Here is a 20431-nt window from a genome sequence, read left to right on the forward strand (position 1 = left end):
ATTACAAACCATATCACAGGGTGGTGTGTGTTCCCCGCGATATGAGGAGTAATATCACCCTCTTTTCTTCGGGATATTATGAACCATATCACAGAGGGGTGTACGCCCCCGCAATATGGGAAGTAATATCACCCTCTCCCCGTCTGGATATTACGAATCATATCACAGAAAAGTGTACGACCCCACGATATGGAGAGTAATATCTCCCTCTCCGCCCCCGGGATATCACAAACCATATCACAGGGGTGTATATGCCCCCCGCGACATGGAGAGTAATATCTCCCTCTCCCCTCCGGGATATTATGAACCATATCATAGTGGGGTGTATGCCCCACGTGATATGGGGAGTAATATCACCCTCTCCACCCCAAGATATTATGAACCATTTAACGGGGAGGGGTGTATGCCACCGCGATATGGGGAGTAATATCATTTTCTTCCTCCTGGGATGTTACAAACCATATCACGTGGGGGTGTACCCTGATATGTAACGTGATATGGGGAGTAATAGTACCCTCTCCCCCCGGGGATACTGTAAACCATTTCCCAGGGAAGTGTACACCCCCCGGTGATATAGGGAGTAATATCACCCTCTCCACCCCGGGATATTGTGAACCATATCACTGGGAGGGTGTAGCCCCCGCGACAGGGAAAGTAATATCATTGTCTCCTCCTTGGGGTATTTCGAACATGTCACGAGGGTGTGTAACCCCTCACTCGGTATGTGGAGTAATATCACCCTCTCCCTCCCTGTATATTATGAGCCATATCACACCCAGGTGTAGGCCCCCGGTGATATGGGGAGAAATATCACCCTCTCAGCCCCCGGGATATTACGAACCATGTCACAGGGGAGTGTATGTTCCCTGCAATATGAAAAGTAATATTGCACTCTTTTCCCTGAAGTATTACTAACCTTGCCACAGAAGGGCGTATGCTCTTCGCTGTATGGGGAGTAATATTACCCTCTACCCCCTCCCCCACCGGGATATTTCGAACCATGTCACAAAGGAGTATATGGCCCTCGCGATATGGGGAGTAATATCACACTCTCCCCCCAAGGATATTATGAACCATATCACAGGGGGGAGTACTCCTTCGCGATATGGAGAGTAATATCACCCTATCCACCCTGGGATATTACAAACCATATCACCAGGGGATGTAAACTTCCCGTGATGTGGGGAGTAATATCAACTCCTTCCCTTAAGATATTTTGAACCGAGGCGGAAGTAAGGGTGAGAGGAGGCTGCAACGCCGATCGGAGGAGGCAGGAACCGGAGCTCTAGCAGTAGCTGGGTGGGCACCATGGCTGGGATCACCACCATCGAGGCGGTGAAGCGCAAGATCCAGGTTCTGCAGCAGCAGGCAGATGATGCAGAGGAGCGAGCTGAGCGCCTCCAGCGAGAAGTTGAGGGAGAAAGGTGGGCCCGGGAACAGGCTGAGGCTGAGGTGGCCTCCTTGAACGTGGGATCCAGCTGGTTGAAGAGGAGCTGGACCGTGCTCAGGAGCACCTGGCTACTGCCCTGCAAAAGCTGGAAGAAGCGGAAAAAGCTGCTGATGAGAGTGAGAGAGGTAAGAAGGTTATTGAAAACCGGGCCTTAAAAGATGAAGAAAAGATGGAACTCCAGGAAATCCAACTCAGAGAAGCTAAGCACATTGCAGAAGAGGCAGATAGGAAGTATGAAGAGGTGGCTCGTAAGTTGGTGATCATTGAAGGAGACTTGGAACGCACAGAGGAACGAGCTGAGCTGGCAGAATCCCTTTGCCGAGAGATGGATGAGCAGATTAGACTGATGGACCAGAACCTGAAGTGTCTGAGTGCTGCTGAAGAAAAGTACTCTCAAAAAGAAGACAAATATGAGGAAGAGATCAAGATTCTTACTGATAAAATAAAGGAGGCGGAGACCCATGCTGAGTTTGCTGAGAGATCGGTAGCCAAGCTGGAAAAGACAATTGATGACTTGGAAGATAAACTGAAATGCACCAAAGGGGAGCACCTCTGTACACAAAGGATGCTGGACCAGACTCTGCTTGACCTGAATGAGATGTAGAACGCCTCAGTCTCACCCTGCTGCTGCTCCTCCCTCTGAACCAGACTCCGCCTGAGGCCAGCCTGCCCGAAGCTGACCTTTAATTGAGGGCTGATCTTTAACTGGAAGGCTGCTTTCTCCTTTCGCCGCCCCCTCCTTCCGCCGCCCGCTCCTTCCCTGTGTCTTTTTCACCAAACTGTCCGCCTCTTCCCGGAGATTCCAGCTGGGCTAGAGGCTGAGCACCTTTGGAAACAACATTTAAGGGAATGTGAGCACAATGCATAATGTCTTTAAAAAGTATGTTGTGATGTACACATTTTGTAATTACCTCTTTTGTTGTTTTGTAGCAACCTTTTGTAAAACATTCCATATAATACCACAGCCCTGAAGCAGCGATCGAATCCCTTTCTCACTTTTGGAAGGTGACTTTTCACCTTAATGCATATTCCTCTCTCCATGGAGGAGAGGAAAAGGTATAGGCCTGCCTTGCTGAGAGCCAAACAGAGCCCAGGGAGACTCCACTATGGGAAGCCTCATTGCTCTGTACAAAGTACTAGCTAAGCCAGAAAGGTGGTTCCAGGAGGAGTTAGCCAAACAACAACAACAAAAAATGTGCTGTTCAAGTTTTCAGCTTTAAGATACCTTTGGATAATGTTATTTCTATTTTTTATTTTTTTCATTAGAAGTGACCAAATTAAGATGGCAAGACCTCTGAGACCAAAATTTTGTTCCATCTCTACCCCCTCCCAACTGCTTACAGAATGGATCATGTTCCCCTTATGTTGAGGTGAGCACTTAATTGCTTTTCTTGCCTCCTTGAAAGAAAGAAAGAAAGAAAGAAGATTGTGTTTTTGCCACTGATTTAGCCATGTGAAACTCATCTCATTACCCTTTTCTGAGTTTGAAGCTGCTGTCTCTACAAGTGCCATCTCATTGTGCTTTGTATCAGTCAGTGCTGGAGAAATCTTGAATAGCTTATGTACAAAACTTTTTAAATTTTATATTATTTTGAAACTTTGCTTCTTTGGGTTTGTGGCACCCTGGCCACCCCATCTGGCTGTGACAGCCCCTGCAGTCCGTGGGCTGGCAGTTTGTTGATCTTTTAAAGTTTCTTTCCCTACCCTGTCCCCATTTTCTGGTAAGGTTTCTAGGAGGTCTGTTAGGTGTACATCCTACAGCTTATTGGCTTAATATGTACTCTCCTTTGATGTGGTCTACTTGGGGCCGATTGGGAGAAAGAGAAATCAATAGTGCAACTGTTTTGTTAATGAATATTGACAAGTGTCTTTTTGAAATAAAGAACCAGTCCTTCAAAAAAAAAAGACATTTTGAACCATATCACAGGGGGGTGTATGTCCCTGCAATATGGGGAGTAATATCACTCTCTCCCCTCTGGGATATTACAAACCATATCACAGGAGGGTGTACGTCCCCACAATATGGGGAGTAATATTACCCTCTCCTCCCTGGATATTATGAACCAAACCACAGGGGGCTTATGCCACCCGCGATATGGAGCATAATATCTTCCTCTACTCCCCGGAATATTATGAACTGTATCACAGGGGAGTGTATGCCCTTCACAATACGAAGAGTAATATTACCCTCTCCCCCATGGGATATTACGAACCATGTCACACCCCTTGCGATATGGGAAGTAATATCCCTGTCTTTCCTTCCGGATATTCTGAACCATATCACAGGGGGATATACACCCCCTGGGATATGGGGAGTAATATCGTTCTCCTTGGGCCATGCGTGGTGGCTCACATCTGTAATCTCAGCACTTTTGGAGGCCGAGGCGGATGGATCACAGGGTCAGGAGTTCGAGATCAGCCTGGCCAATATGGTGAAACCCCGTCTCTAATAAAAATACAAAAATTAGCCAGACGTTGTGGGGTGCGCCTGTAGTCCCAGCTATTCAGGAGGCTGGGAGAGGAGAATTGCTTGAGTCCAGGAGGCGGGGGTTGCAGTGAGCCAAGATCGTGCCACTGCACTCCAACCTGGGTGACACAGTGAGACTCAAAAAAAAAAAATCATTCTCATTTCCCCCCCTGGATATTACAAACTGTTTCACAGGTAAATGTAGACCACCTGCGATATGGTGAGTAATATCACCCTCCTCTCCTTCCCTGGATATTACAGACCATATCGCCGGGGGTGTACTCCCCCTCCCGTGTACACCCCCGGCGATATGGGGAGTAATATCACTCTCCTGTTTCCTTTTGGATATTATGAACTTGATCAAAGAGGGATGTACTCCCACCGAGATATGGGGAGTAATATCACCCTCCTCATCCCCCTGGATATTCCAAACCATATCACAGGGGGGTGGGCACCACCCGCGATGTGGGGAGTAATATCACCCTCTCTTCTATTACAAACAATATTACAGGGGTATGTACACTTCCCGCGATATGGGGAGTAATATTACCCTCACCCACCCTGGATATTATGAACCATATCACAGGAGAGTGTACATCCCCCAAGATGTGGAGAGTGATAGCAGCCTCCTTCCCCAGGATATTATGAACCATAACACACCCCCGGCAATATGAGGAGTAATATCACCCTCTCCCGACCTGGATATTACGAACCATGTCACAGGAGGGTGTACATGCCCCGAGATATGGGGAGTAACATTACCCTCTCCTCCCCTGGATATTACAAACCATGTTACAACCCCCGTGATATGGTGAGTAATATCACCCACTATATCCCCTAGATATTACAAACCATATCACAGGAAGGTGTACGCCCCCCACAATATGGGGAGTAATATCAATCTCTCCCCTTCTGGATATTACGAACCATATCACAGGGAAGGGTATACCTCCCATGATATGGGAAGTAATATCACCCTCTCCAACTTGGATATTATGAACCATATCATAAAGGGGTGTCTGCACCCAGCAATATGGAAAGTAATATCACCTTTTCCTCCCCTAGATATTACAAACCATATCACAGGGGGGGTGTATGCCCTCTGCAATACGGGGATTAATATCACCCTCTTCTTTTCTGGTTATTATGAACCATATCACAGGGGTTGTATGTCCCCCCGCAATATGGGGAATAATATCACCCTCTCCCCCCTGGATATTAGGAACCATATCACAGGGAAGTGTACTCCCTTCATGATATGGAAACGACTCCTCCTCTGCCCCCTGGATATTACTAATTATACCACAGAAGAGTGCACGCCCCCTGATTATCACACCTCCCAAGATATGTGGAGTAATATCATCGTCCTCTACCCTTCTGGATATTATGAACCATATCACAGGGGGTTGTACACCCTTCGCGATATGAGGAGCAATATCACCCTCCTCTCTCCCCTGGATATTATGAACTATATCACAGGGGAGTTTACAACACCCGCGATATGGGGAGTAAATATCACTCTCCTCTCCCCCGCCTGGATATTATGAACCACGTCACAGGGCGTGTGTACACTTCACTTCAACTTTTTCCCTTAAGTTGTACACATCAACTTCTTCCTTTGAGATACTATGAACCAGATCACGGGGGTGTATGCTCCCCGCGATATGGGGAGTAATATCACCCTCGCCCCCCAAAGATATTACAAACCATATCACAGGGGGCTGTACGTCTCCACAATATGGGGAGTAATATTACCCTCTCCCCCCTGGATATTATAAGCCAAACCATAGGGGGTTGTAGGCCACCCGCGATATAGGGCATAGTATCTTCCTCCACTCTCCGGAATATTATGAGCTATATCACAGGGGGGTGTATGCCCTTCGCGATATGGGGAGTAATATCACCTTCTCCCCTCGGGATATAAAGAACCACATCACAAAAAAGTGGACGCCTTCCACGATATGGGGAGTGATATCACCCTCATCTGCCCCCCTGGATATTACCAACCACATCACAAAGGGGTGTACACCCCCCCGATATTGGGAGTAATGTCACCCTCCTTTTTCACTCTGGATATTCTGAACCATATCACAGGGAGTTGTACACCGCCTGCGATATGAGGAGTAATATAGTAATAGCATCTTCTCCACCCCTGGATATTAGGAACAAAATCACAAGGAAAGTGTACATTCCCTGCGATATTGAAAGTAAAATCATCCTTCCCCCATATTGCATATTAGAAACAATATCACAGCTCGGGTGTATACCCCCTGCGATATTGGGAGCAATATCATCCTCTGCCTCCTGGATATTAGAAAAAATATCACAAGGGGGTGTATACGACTCCTGAGATATTGGGAGTAACATCATTCTCTCCCACCCTGAATATTAGGAACAATATCACAGGGGGGTGTACACCCTCTCCAATATTGAGAGTAATATTATCCTGCCACCCCACCCCCCAGATATTAGGAACAAAATTACAGGGAAAATGTACGCCCTGTGATATTGGAAATAATACTATTTTTTATTTCTCTGGATATTAGGAACAATATCACGGGGGGTGTACACCCTCTGCGATATTGGGAATAATATTATCCTCTGCCCCCCTGGATATTGGAACAATATCAAAGGGGGGTGTACACCCCTGTCAATATTAAGGGTAATATCATACTCTCCCTTTCCTGATATTAGGAAAAATATCACAAAGGAGGTGTTCACCCCTGCAATATTGGGAGTAACATGATTTTCTCCTCTACTGGATATGAGAAACAATATCACAGGGGTAGTGTACACGCTCAGTATTGAAAGTAATATCATCTTCTCACTCCCTGGATATTAGCAACAATATAACAGGGAAGGTGAACACTTCTTGCGATATTGTGAGTAATATTATCTTCTACTCCGCCGGATGTAGGTGTACATCCCCTGCGATATTGGGAGTAATATGATTCTCTCCCCCTCTGGGTATTAGGAACAATATCACGGAGTGGGGGGAGACACCACCCGCGATATTGGGAGTAATATTATCCTGTCATTCTCCTGGATATTAGGAACAATATCATAAGGGAGTGTACACCTCCTGTGATATTGATAGTAATATCACCCTCATTTTCCCTAGATATTAGAAACAATATCACAGGTTGGGGTGTACACCCCCTGTGATCCTGAGTGTAATATCCTCTCCCTCCCTGGATATTGGAAGCAATATCACAGAAAGGGTGTACAGTCTTTGCGATATTGGGAGTAATATCATCCTCTCCCTCATGGATATTAAGAACAATATCAAAGAAGGCCTGTACACACCCTGTGACATTGGGAGTAATATCATCTTCTCTTCCTCTGGATATTAGAAACAATATCACACGGAGGGTGTATAGCCCTGGGATATTTGGAGTAATATTATCCTCTCCCACCCTGGATATTAAAAACAATATCACAGTGGGGGTGTAATCCCCCTGCGATATTGGGAGTAATATCATCCTCTCCCCCCAGATATTAGAAACTATATAAAAAGAAGGGTGTACACCCCATGCGATATTGGAAGGAATATTATTTTCTCCAACCTTGAATATTAAAAACAATATCACAGGGGGCTCTACACCCCCTGCTGCAATACAGTGAGTAATATTACCCTCCTTCGTCCTGAACATTAGGAAGAATATCACAAGGGGAGTTTACATCTCCTGTGATGTTGGGAGTAATACCATCCTCTCCTCCACTGCATATTAGAAACAATATCTCAGGGAAGGTGTACACCCCTGCGATATTGGGAGTAATATAATCATTTACCCCTCTGGATATTAGGAACAATATCACAGGACAGGTATACATTTCTTGTAATATTAGGAGTAATATCATCCTCTTTCCTTCTGGATATTAGGAAAAATATCACAGGGGGAGTGTATGTCCCCTTCGATTTTAGGAGTAATATTATCTTCTCCACCCCTGGATATTAGAAGAAACAATATCACATAGGGTTGTACAGCCCCTGCGATATTAGGAGTAATATCATCTCCTTTCCCCCTGGATATTAGGAACAATATCAAAGGGAGGTTGTACACCTTCTACAATATTTAAAGTAATATCATCTCCTCCGCTGGATACTAGGAACAATATCACAGGAGGTGTGCACACCCCCTGCGATATTGAGAGTAATATAATTTTCTCCCATCCTTGATATTAGAAACAATATCACGGGGAGATGTACACCCATTGTGATATGTGATATTAGGAGTAATATCATTTTCTCCCTTCCTGGATATTAGGAAAAATATCATAGTGGGAGTGTAAGTTCCCTGCGATTTTAAGAGTAATAGCATCCCCTCCCCCCCTGGATATTAGGAAGAATATCACAGAAGCGATGTACACCCCCTGTGATATTGGGATTAATATCATCCTCTCTCTTCCTGGATATTAGGATCAATATCACAGGGAAGTGTACACACCCTGCGATATTTGGAGTTATATTATTCTTTTCCTTTTTGAATATGAGAAACAATATCACAGGGCCGTTGGACACCCCCTACAATATTGCGAGTAATACCATCCTCTCACCGCTGGATATTAGAAACAACATCACAAGGGGCTGTACACCTTCTGTGATATTGACAGTAATATCATCCTCTTCTTTCTTAGATATAACAAACAATATCACAGGAGGAGTGTACACCCACTGTTGATATTGGGAGTAATATTATCACAGGGCGTGCGTGCAACCCCTGCAATATTGGGAGCAATGTCATCCTCTCTTACTCTGGATATTAGGAACAATATCACGGGGGGTGTATACAGCCTGCAATATTGGGAGTAACATCATTCTTTGCCTCCCTGGATATTAAGAATGATATCATGGGGGGCCTGTACACCCCCTGCGATATTGGGAGTAATATCAGCCTTTCACCCTTTGGATATAAAAAACAATATCACGGGGATGGTGTACACCCTCTGCTGTATTTGGAGTAGTAGCATTCTTTTCTCCATGAATATTAGGAACAATATCTCAGGAGGAGTGTACGTCCCCTGTGATTTTGGGAGTAATATTATCCTCTCCCCCTGGATATTAGCAACAATATCACAGGGGTGGTGTACACCCCCTGCGATACTGGGAGTAATATCATTCTCTCCTTTCCTGGATGTTAGGAATAATATCACAAAGAGGATGTACACCTTCTGTGATATTGGGGGTAATATCCTTACCCACATAAATATTAGGAAATATATCACAGGGGGGTGTACATATCCTGCGATATTGGAAGTAGTTCATTCTTTCCCGCCTGGATATTATGAACAGTATCCCAGGGGTGTGTACACTCTGTGATATTGGGGGTAATGTCATCTTCTACCCCCCTGGATATTATAAACAATATCACAGGGGATGTACACACAGGATGTTTACGTTATTTTGAGTAATATCATCCTCTCCACCCCTGGATATTACAAACAATATCACAGGGAGGTGCACATCCCCTGAAATATTGGCAATTATATCATCCTTTTCTCCCCTGGATATTACGAACAATATCACAGGGGGGTGTACACCCCCTGTGATACTCGGAGTGATATCATCCTCTCCTTTTCTAGATATTTCAAAGAATATCACAGGGACCGTACACCACCTGCAATATTGGGAGTAATATCATCCTCTCCTTTTCTGGATATGATGAACAATAAATATCACTAGTGGGTGGACACCCCCGGTGATATTGGGAGTAATGTTATCCTGTCTTCCCCTGGATATTATGAACAATATGGCAAAGGGGTGTACACTCCCTGGGATATTGGGAGTAATAGCATCCTCTTTCATTCCGGATATTGGGAACAATATCACAGGAGAGTGTACACCCCCTTCGATATTGGAAGTAATATTATCATATTTTTTTCCTGTATTTTAAGAACAATATCATCTTCTCCATTCTGAATATTACCAACAATATTACAGGGGGATGAACGTCCCCTGAGATATTAAGACTAATATAATTTTCTCTCCCCCTAGATATTACGAACAATATCACAGGGGGTTGTACTCCCCCTGCTATATTGGAAATAATAGCATTCTCTTTTCTTCTTGGTATTACAAACAAGATCACAGGGGGGTGTACACTCCCCACGATTTTGGGAGCTATATCATCCTTTCCCCCTCTGGATATTCGGAACAATATCACAGGGAGTGTGCACCCCCTGCGATATTGGGAGTAACATTATCCTCTCCCCAGAGCGCCTCTGCCCGGCCTCTGAACCGTCTGGGAAGTGAGGAGCGCCTCTGCCCGGCAGCCCCACCATCTGGGAAATGAGGAGAGTCTCTGCCCGGAGTCCAAGTGTCTGGGAAGTGAGGAGCGCCTCTGCCCAGCCGCCCCACTGTCAGGGAAGTGAGGAGTGCCTCAGCTCGGCGGCCACACCATCTGGGAAGTGAGGAGCACCTCTGCATGGCCACACCACCGTCTGGGAAGTGAGGATCGCCTCTAGCCTGCCGCCCCACCATGTGGGAAGTGAGGAGCGCCTCTGCTGGGCCGCCCTACCCTCTGAGAAGTGAGGATCGCCTCTGCCCGGCTGCCCCACCATCTGGGAAGTGTGGAGCGCCTCTGGCTTGCCGCTGCTCCGTTTGGGAAGTGAGGAGTGCCTCTGCCAGGCCTGCAAACCGTCTGGGCAGTGAGGAGCACCTCTGCCCGGCAGCCCCCTGTTCTGGGAAGTGAGGAGCACCTCTGCCCGGCTCCTGCAACATCTCGGAAGTGAGGAGCACCTCTGCCCGGCTGCCTCACCGTCTGGGGAGTGAGGAGCGCCTCTGCCCGGCCACTGTGCAACCCTCCAATTGTGAAGTGGCAGCCTTCTGTTTGATCTTTCTGCCCTTCTCAAGTTTGCATTTTTGACATTAAAGTTTACTTTTAAAATAAAAAAATTATCTTCTCCCCTTCTGGATATTACAAACAATATCACAAGAAGGTTACACCCCTTGAGCTATTGTAAGGAATAGCATCCTCTCCCTACCTTGATATTACAAACAATATCATATGGGGCTACACACCCCCTGTGATATTGGAAGTAATATCATCCTCTCCCCTTCTGGATTTTATGGACAATATCACAAAAGGGTGTGCACCTTCTACGATATTGTGAGTAATATCATCCTCTACCCCCCTGGATATTATGAACCATATCATATGGGGGTGTACACTTCCCACCATATGGGGAGTAATAGCAACCTCTCCCCTTCCGGATATTACGAACCATACTACAGGGCGGTGTACACCCTCCACGATATGGGGAGTAATAGCATTCTCTCCCGTCGTGGATATTACAAACTATACCACAAAGAGGTGTACACTCCCTGTGATATGGGGATAATTACACCTTCTCTCCCTCCTTGATTTTACGATCCGTACTACAAGGGGGTGTACACTCCCCGCAATATGGGGAGTAATAGCACCTACTCCCCCGCTGGATATTAGGAACCAAAGGGGGGTGTACACCCCTCTCTATAAGGGGAGTCACAGTGTAGCAGGAGGAGCCGCGGACAAAATCCCACAGACACCGAGGTAGTGAAGGAAGTGGCTTTTAATCAGCTGGAAGCATCAGCAGACTAGAGTATCAAAATCCAAGCTTGTTGAGTGCACAATTTCTGTCCTTTTTAAGGGCTCACAACACTAAGGTTTTTACATGAAAGGGCCATGATTGATTGAGCAATCTAGTGGGTATGTGACAAGGGCTGCATGCACCAGTACTCAGAGTGAAACAGAACAGAACAAGAAATTTCACAATGTCCTTCCATACAATGTCTGGAATCTATGGATAACATCAGTTGCTAGGTCATGGGTTGAATTTTAACTTTCAGGCTAAGGTCAGGAAGGCCCAGGCCTGGTTTCGGGTCTGGTTTTGGATCTGGTGCCTGGCGCCGGGCTGCCTGCCTTTGGTTTCGCTTCCTTGTTTCTTCTTAAAACAGGTACTGAGTATAAAATAATACAGAACAATATGGGGGGGGTCTTTTGCTCTCTTCTCTCAATAGCACCCCTTACCTGGGATATTACAAAACATACCATAGAGGGGTGTACGCCTCCTGCAAAATGGGGAATAATAGCACCCTCTCTTACCCTGGATATTTCGAACCATACCACAGGGAGGTGCACTCCCCCCGCGATATGGGGAGTAATAGCACCCTCAATCCCCTGGATATTGTGAACCGTACCACAGGGGAGTGTACATTTCCAGCGATATGAGGGGTAATAACACCCTCTTCGTTCCCGGAGATTACAAAACATACCACACGGGGGTGTACACACCCCGCGATATGGGAAGTAATAGCATCCTCTTTCCCCCTGGATATTAGGAACCGTACCGCAGCAGGGTGTACATGCCTCGCGATATGGGGAATAATAGCACCCTTTCCCTCCCTGGATATTATGAACCATACCACAGGGGGGTGTACACCCCTTGCAATATGGAAAGTAATAGCACCCTCTTTCCTTCTGGATATTAGGAAACATACCAAAGAGGGGTGTACACCCCCTGCGATATTGAAAGTAATATTATCTTGCTCCCTTCTGGATACTAGGAACAATATCACAGGGGAGTGTACATGCCCTGTGATGTTTTGAGTAATATCATCCTCTCCCCTTTGAATGTTAGGATCAATATCACAGGGAGGTGTACACGTTCTGCGATATTGGGAGTAATATCATCCTCTACTTTTCTGGATATTAGGAACAGTATCACAGAAGATGTGAACACTCCCTGCTATATATCCAGTAATATCAACCTCTCCCCTCCTGGATATCAAGAATAATATAACCGGGGGGTGTACCCCACCTCTGATATTGGAAGTAATATCATCCTCTCTCCCTCTATATATTATGAACAATATCTCAGAGAGGGTGTATGCCCCCTGCGATATTGGGCGTAATATCATACTCTCTTCCCCTGGATATTAAAAACAATATCACAGGGGGAATAGGCACCACCTGAGATATTGGGAGTAATATCATCCTCTCCCTTAAAGGATATTAGGAACAATACATAGGGGTGGTGTACACCTCCTGTGATATTATAAGTTATATCATCCTCTCTTCCCCCAAAATATTAGGAACAATATTACAGGGGCGTTGTACACCTTCTGGGATATGGAGAGCAATGTCATCCTCTTTTCCATTGGATATTAGGAACAATATAAAAGGGGGGTGGACACACCCTGCGATATTGGCAGTAATATCATCTTTTCCCTCCTGGATATTAAGAAAAATATAACAAGAGAGGTGTACACTTCCTGCGACATTGAGAGTGATATCGTCCTCCCCCGCATGGATATTAGGAACAATATCACAGGTTGGTGCACACCCCCTGCGATATTGGGACTAATATCATCCTCTCCCCGCCCGAATATTTGGAACAATATCACAGGGGGGTGTACACCCCCCTGCAATATTGAGAGTAATATTCTCTCTTCCTGTGGATATTAGGAACGATATCACAGGAGAGGTGTACACACCCTGAGATATTGGGAGTAATATTTTCATCTTTCCTTTTGAATATTAGGAACAATAGCAGGGTGGGGTACACACCCTGTGATATTGGCAGTAATGTCATCCTTCTTCCCCCTGGGTATTAGAAACAATATAACAGGGGAAGTGTACACCCTCTCCGATATTGGGAGTAATATCATCCTCTTCCCTGCTGGATATTAGGAACAACATGACACGGTGGGTGTACACTTCCTGGAAAATGGGATTAATATCATCCTCTTTCTTCCTGGATATTAGGAACACTACCAAAGGGGAAGTGTAACCCCCTGCAATATTGGTAGTAATATCATCCTCTTTTTCCCTGATTATTATGAAGAATATCACAGCGGGGGTGTACAATTTCTGCGATATTGAGAATAATAGCATCCTCTCCTCCCTCCCCAAATACTAGAAACAATATCCCAGGATAAGTGTACACCCTCTGCGATATTGGGCATAATATCACACTCTTTTCCCCTGGATATTAGAAACAATATCATAGGTGGGGTGTACACCCCCTGGGAGTAATATCATCCTCACCACTTCTGGATATTAGGAACAATATCACAGGAGGTGTGTACACCCCTTGCTGCAATGGGAGTAATATCATGTACCTTCCCCCTGGATATTGAAAACTATACCACAGGAAAGGTGTACAAACCCTGTGATATTGAAAGTAATATTATCTTCTTTCCCCCTGAGTATTAGGAACAATACCACATGGGGTGTGTACACCCCCTGCCATATTGGGAGTAATATTATTTTCCCCTCGCCTGGATATAAGGAACAATATCACAGGAGGGGTGTACACCCCCAGCGATATTGAAAGCAATATCATCTCCTCCCCTCTTGATATTAAAAACAATATCACCGGAGGAGTTCACACCCCTGTGATATGGAGACTAATATCATTTTCTCCCCACCGAAGTATTAAGAACAATATCATGGGGGGGTGTGTACACCTTTTGTGATATTGGGAGTAATATCATCCTTTTCCAACCTGTATATTAAAAACCATATCACAGGGGGTGTGTACACCCCCTGTAATATTCACAATAATATCATCGTTTTCTTCCCTGGCTATTAGGAACAATATCACAATGGTGGTGTACACCCCCTGTGATATTGGGAGTAACATCATCCTCTTCCCTTTTGGATACTGTGAACAATCCCACAGGGGAGAGGTACACCCCCTGCGATATTGGGAGTAATATCCTCTCCCGTCATGGATATTAGGAACAATATCACAGGAGCGGTGTACACCCCCTGCGATATTGGGAGTAATATCATTTTCTCCCAACCTAACTAGCACAATATCACAGGGGGTGTTCGCCCCCTGCCATATTGAGAGTAATGTCATCCTCTCCCCTCCTGGATATGAAAAACAATATCACAGTGGGGCCGTGCACCCCCTGCGATATTGGGAGTAATATCATCCTCTCTACCCCCTGGATATGAGGAACAATATTACAAAGGGGTGTACACCCCCTGGAATATTCACAGCAATATCATTGTTTCCCTTCCTGGATATTAGGAACAGTATCACAAGGGGGGTGTAGACCTCCAGCGATATTGGGAGTAATATCATGCTCTCTCCTTCTTTATATTAGAAACAATATCACGGGGAGGGGTGTACACCACCTGCGATATCATCCTCTTTACCCCTGGATATTAGGAACAATATCACTTGTGGGGTGTACTTCTCCTGTGATATCGGGCATAATAATATCCTCTCCCCCCTGAATATTAAGAACAATATAACAGGGGGACAGCACAACCCCTGTGATATTGAAAGTAATATCATCCTCTGCTTCCCTGAATATTAGGAACATTATCACGGGGGGGGGGGGTGTACACTCCCTGCTATATTGGGAGTAATATAATCCTCTCCCTCCCTGAATATTAGGAACAATATCACAAGGGGGGTGTACAACCCCTTCTATATGAGAAGTAATATCATCCTCTTCCTTCCTTTATATATATTTTTTTCCATTGAAAGTTGTTTATTTCTCTGATGTAAGTGAGCTAAGTCACTACAGCATTAAAATCTCTTTTCTAGAACAACGTAAAGAACAATGTATACACATCTTAAATTTGGTAGGTCACAAAAGTTAGAATGCAATCATCTTTTGAGGCAACAAGAAAATAAATAAATAAAAATTAAACACTTTAACCCAAAATTTGGTATTGACAAATCAGTAGTGTCAACTTCACATATGAAGGACAATACAGTCTGGTTATTTAAAGATGCTCAATATGTCATGGTATTTGGGCTAAAGATACTTAGAATATTGCGTTTCCTTTTTGATTAAAGGAATACAATGCAATCACCATCAAGCTGCTATCATAACTCATTTTTAGCTGTGGTAAAGTGACCATTTGGTCCATGGCACAAGTTACATATATCACACTTCTGTCAAACTGAAACCTTGTAAGATTTCATGTTTATAAGCTACAATACACCCTGACCAAGCTGTCAGTCCCCTCACGGTTTTTTAGAAAAATATCTACATTTGTCCTTATGGATGTCAAAATGTTACACCATCATTTGTTAAAAAAAAAAAAAAAAGATGCACATTCATACTGTGAAGTTATTAGGAAAATACTCTTGCAAACAAACTATATAAAGATAAAACACGCTTCAAAAGTATGTGGTTTGTTTTCTTGTTTGTCTGTTTTACAATATTCTATAAAGTGCAGAGTCCTAAGGGAAAAAACTACTCCCTATAACAATAGTTCAATTACAGCAGCTTTTGCATAGCAATACTTAGAGAAAGTTGGACACTACAGTTTCTTCAGGAAGAGAAGGATGGAAGAGTATCTTCTGATTCAGATTGTTTTTTGGCCATAAGTCTGCTTTCTTCAGGAATGGTTGCTGATGCCAAATCTCCGTTAAGTGTATTTTATGAACAGTGAACAGGTCTATCTGGGTCTTCAAGAGGAATATCACTACAAGAATCTGTATCTGAGTAGGTTCTTCGGCGTCGCTGGGAGAGTCGGTGAAGTGCAGATACTGGTTCTTTTATACAGTGGCTACTCCTCCCTGGTGCAAGAACCAGGGTGGCTGACAGAACGCTTCCTCATTTGAACAGGAGAAGGTGACACAGGAGAAACTAAGGGATCCGGATGGTGCCGTTGAAACATCTCAGGTTTAAACCTGGCATTGGCTATCTTCACACATTCCTCAAGCGTTGTGATGAACGTGTTACACGTGGCACTAAGCAGAGAAGAGGCTTCATTGATGTTCTCTGCACTAGGAGATGAATGATTCTCATCGTGGTGAACAAATTCCTGTATCGTATGAACTTGCTGCATTAAGAGGTCACAGTAGAGGCGAAGTTCAGACATTTTGGTTTTCAGCGATTCACTGGTTTCACTTCTTTCTTTTTCGTTTTTAGTCCTTGTATCAGTCAAACATGCTTTGGAGCTCCCCAGAGCGACCAGCCACCTCTGTCTTTCAGCTGCGTTCACTGCCTTCATGTAGAAATGCTGCTCTCCAGGAATGATTAATTCCATTCTTGTGTTGTCTGCTGAATGAACAGAATTTATGTATCCAATCAAGGGTGGTCCCCTCCAAAGCTGTCACCTTTAATTTCACAAACTGCCATCTTTATGCTTCCTTTGCTCCCTTTGCAAACATCATCTTGTGAATCATAATAGGATAAGATTCCATTATCTAAAACAAACCAACGAGGCTGCCAACCTGTGAGATAGTTGGTCCACTTGTACAAAACCCCCTCCATGCTTCAGAGCCCCACACCGCTCATCCTCCCGGCCCGGCGCCGGCCGCGGTGATGGGGTAGGCGCGGGGCCTGGGGCAGCCTTTCCCGGCCCGCCCGGGCCCCCTCCGCCGGCACGAAGCCGCTTTCTGCCTGCGCGCGCCGCAGGGACGTGGCGGCCCTTAGAGGCCGGGACAGCGGGCGCAGCGTGGAGCTTGGGGGCCGCGAGGCGCGGGCTCAGACATCCCCGGGTAAGCCTCGGCGGCGGCGGCCGCGACAACGGCAAAAATGCGACTGCGACCGCGACCGGTCTCGTGCTCGCGCTTCCGCGGCCCGGCTGCTCCCTCCGGCGCCCCGGCGCTGCCTCTTCCTCGCCTGCCTTCCTTCCCCCTGGGCTCCCCGTTTGTTTTTCGACCTTCCTTTATATTAGGAACAATATCACAAGTGGGGGTGTACACCCCCTGCAATATTAGGAGTAATATTATCCTCTCTTTTTCTAGATATTAGAACAATATCACAGGGGAAGTATACATTCCCTGTGATATTGCGAGTAATATTCTCTCTCTCTTCTAAATATTTGCAACAATATCACAGAAAAGGTGTACAACCCCTACGATATTGGGAGTATTACTATTCTCTTCCCCCTGGATATTAGAAACAATATTACAGGTTAAATGTACACTTCCTGCGATACTGGGAGGAATATCATTCTCTTTTGCTCTGGATATTAGGAACAATGTCACAAGGGGGATGTACACTCTCTGAGATATTGAAAGTAATTTAATTATCTCCCCCCGCCCCCGGCTATTAGGAACAATATCACAGGGGGCGGTGTACACCCTCTGCAATATTTAGAGAAATATAATTCTCTTTCCCCTCGATTTCAAGAACAATATCACAGGGGATGCGTGTACACCCCCTGCGATATTGGGAGTAATATCATCCTCTGTCCCTCTAAATATTAGGAACAATATCATGGGTGGTGTACACACCCTGCGATATTGGCAATAATGTCATCCTCTCCTTTTCTGCATACTAGGAACAACATAATGGGGGAGTGTACACCTCCTGCAATATTAGGAGTAATATCATCTTCTTCCGCCATGGTTATTAGGAGCAATATCACAGAAGGTTTTATAACCCCTGTGATATTGGGAGTAATATCATCCTTCCCCCCACGTATATCCCAGCCTTGATATTAGGAACAATATTACAGGGGAGGTGTATACCCCCTGCTATAAGGGGAGTAACATAATCCCCTTTCTTCCTGGATATTAGGAGTAATATCACCCGTTTTCCACCTGAATATTAGAAACAATATCATAGGGAAGGTGTATATCCCCTGAGACATTGGGAGTAATATTATTTTCTCCTCGCTTGGATATTAGAAACAATATCACAGGGGGTGTGTTCACCCCCTGCGATATTGGGAGTAATATTATCTTCTCTCCTGCGGATATTAGGACAATATCACAAAGGGGGTGTACACTCCCTGGAATATTCACACTAACATCATCGTTTACTTCCCTGAATATTAGGGACAATATCACAAGGGGAGACTACACCCCCTGCGATATTGGGTGTAATATCATCGTCTCCCCCATGGATATTAAGAACAATATTATCGGAAGTGTGTACACTCTCTGCGATATTTGGACTAATATCATTTTCTCCCAACCTAAATATTAACAACAATATCACGGGGGTGTACAGCCCCTGCAATATTGAAAGTAATATTATCCTCTTCCCCCTGGATATTAGTAACAATATCACGGGGGAGGTGTACACCCCTTGCGATACTGGAAGTGATATCATCCTCTCCCAGTCTTGATATTAGAAACAATGTTACAGGGAGGCGTATACCGTCTGCTATAATGGGAGCAATATCATCCTCTTTCTTCCTGGATATTAGGAGAAATATCACAGGGGTTGTGTACAACCCCTGCGATATTGAAAGTAACATCATCTTCTTTCCCTCTGAATATTAGGAACGATATGATGGGGAAGGTGTACACCCCCTGCGGTATTGAGAGTGATATCATTTTCTCCTCGCTTGGATATTAGAAACAACATCACAGGAGGGGTGTACACCCACTGCGATATTGGGAGTAATATAATCCTCTCCCACCCCTGGATATTAGGAACAATATTAGAATATTAGGAAGGTGTACACTCCCTGGAATATTTACAGTAATATCATCCTTTCCTTCCCAGGATATTAGGAAAAATATCATTTTCTCCCAACCTAAATATTAATAACAACATCATAGAGGGTGTACAGCCCCTGCAATATTGAAAGTAATATCATCCTCTACCTCCCTGGATATTAGGAACAATATCACAGGGCATGTACACCTCCTGCGATATTGGGAGTAATGGCATCCTTTCCCATCCTTGATATTAGAAAAATATCAGAGAGGGGGTACACACTCCCTGCAAAAATTGAAAGTAATATCCTCTCCACCGCTGGATATTAGGAGCAATATAACGGGGGAGGGCCTGTATACACCCTGCAATATTGGGAGCAATATTATTTTCTCCTTCACTGGATTTTAGGAACAATATCACAGTGTGGGTGTAAACCCCCTGCGATATTGGGAGTAACAACATCCTCTTTCCCCATGGATATTAAATACAATATCACAGGAGGGGTGTACACTCTCTTCGATATTGGGAGTAATATTCTTCTTTCTTTTCCTTGATGTAAGGAACAATATCAGAGGGGGGTGTACACCACCTGCAATATTGGGAGTAATATCATCCTTTCCCTTTCTGGATATTAGGAACAATATCACAAGAAATGTGTACACTGGCTGCAATACTGGAAGTAATATAATCCTCTCCCTTCCTGGATATTAGAAACAATATCCCAAAAGGGATGTACACTCCCAGCGATATTGAAAGTCATATAATCGTCTGCTTCCCTGGATATTATGAAGAACATCACAGGGTGGGTGTCCACTTTCTGCGATATTGAGAGTAATATCTTCCTCTCTCCTCCTGAATATTACGAACAATATTGCATGGAGGATGTACCTCCCTTGCGATATTGGGAGTAATATCCTCCTCTCTCCCCCTTGATATTAGGAACAATATCATGGGGGAGTAGTGTACACATCCTGCGATATTGGGACTAATGTCATTTCCCCCCACTCGGATCATAGGAACAATGTAACAGGGAAAGTGCACACCCCCTGTGATATTGGGGGTAATATCATCCTCTCCCGCCCTGGATATTAGGAACAATATCACAGGGCGTTGTACTCCTTCTGCGATTTTAGGAACAATATCATACTGTCCCCTTTTG

At 44.8% G+C, this 20431-nt stretch overlaps 2 pseudogenes; one reads left to right on the top strand and one right to left on the bottom strand.

The window, feature by feature from the left end:
• On the top strand, positions 1225-3348 carry TPM3P5 (tropomyosin 3 pseudogene 5; annotated as a pseudogene).
• PLEKHA3P1 (pleckstrin homology domain containing A3 pseudogene 1) lies at positions 15391-17110 on the bottom strand (annotated as a pseudogene).
• Positions 17111-20431: the final 3321 nt, after the last annotated feature.

The sequence above is a fragment of the Homo sapiens genome, chromosome 19 (assembly GCF_000001405.40).
Source record: "Homo sapiens chromosome 19, GRCh38.p14 Primary Assembly".
In the NCBI taxonomy this organism is placed as follows: Eukaryota; Metazoa; Chordata; class Mammalia; order Primates; family Hominidae; genus Homo; species Homo sapiens.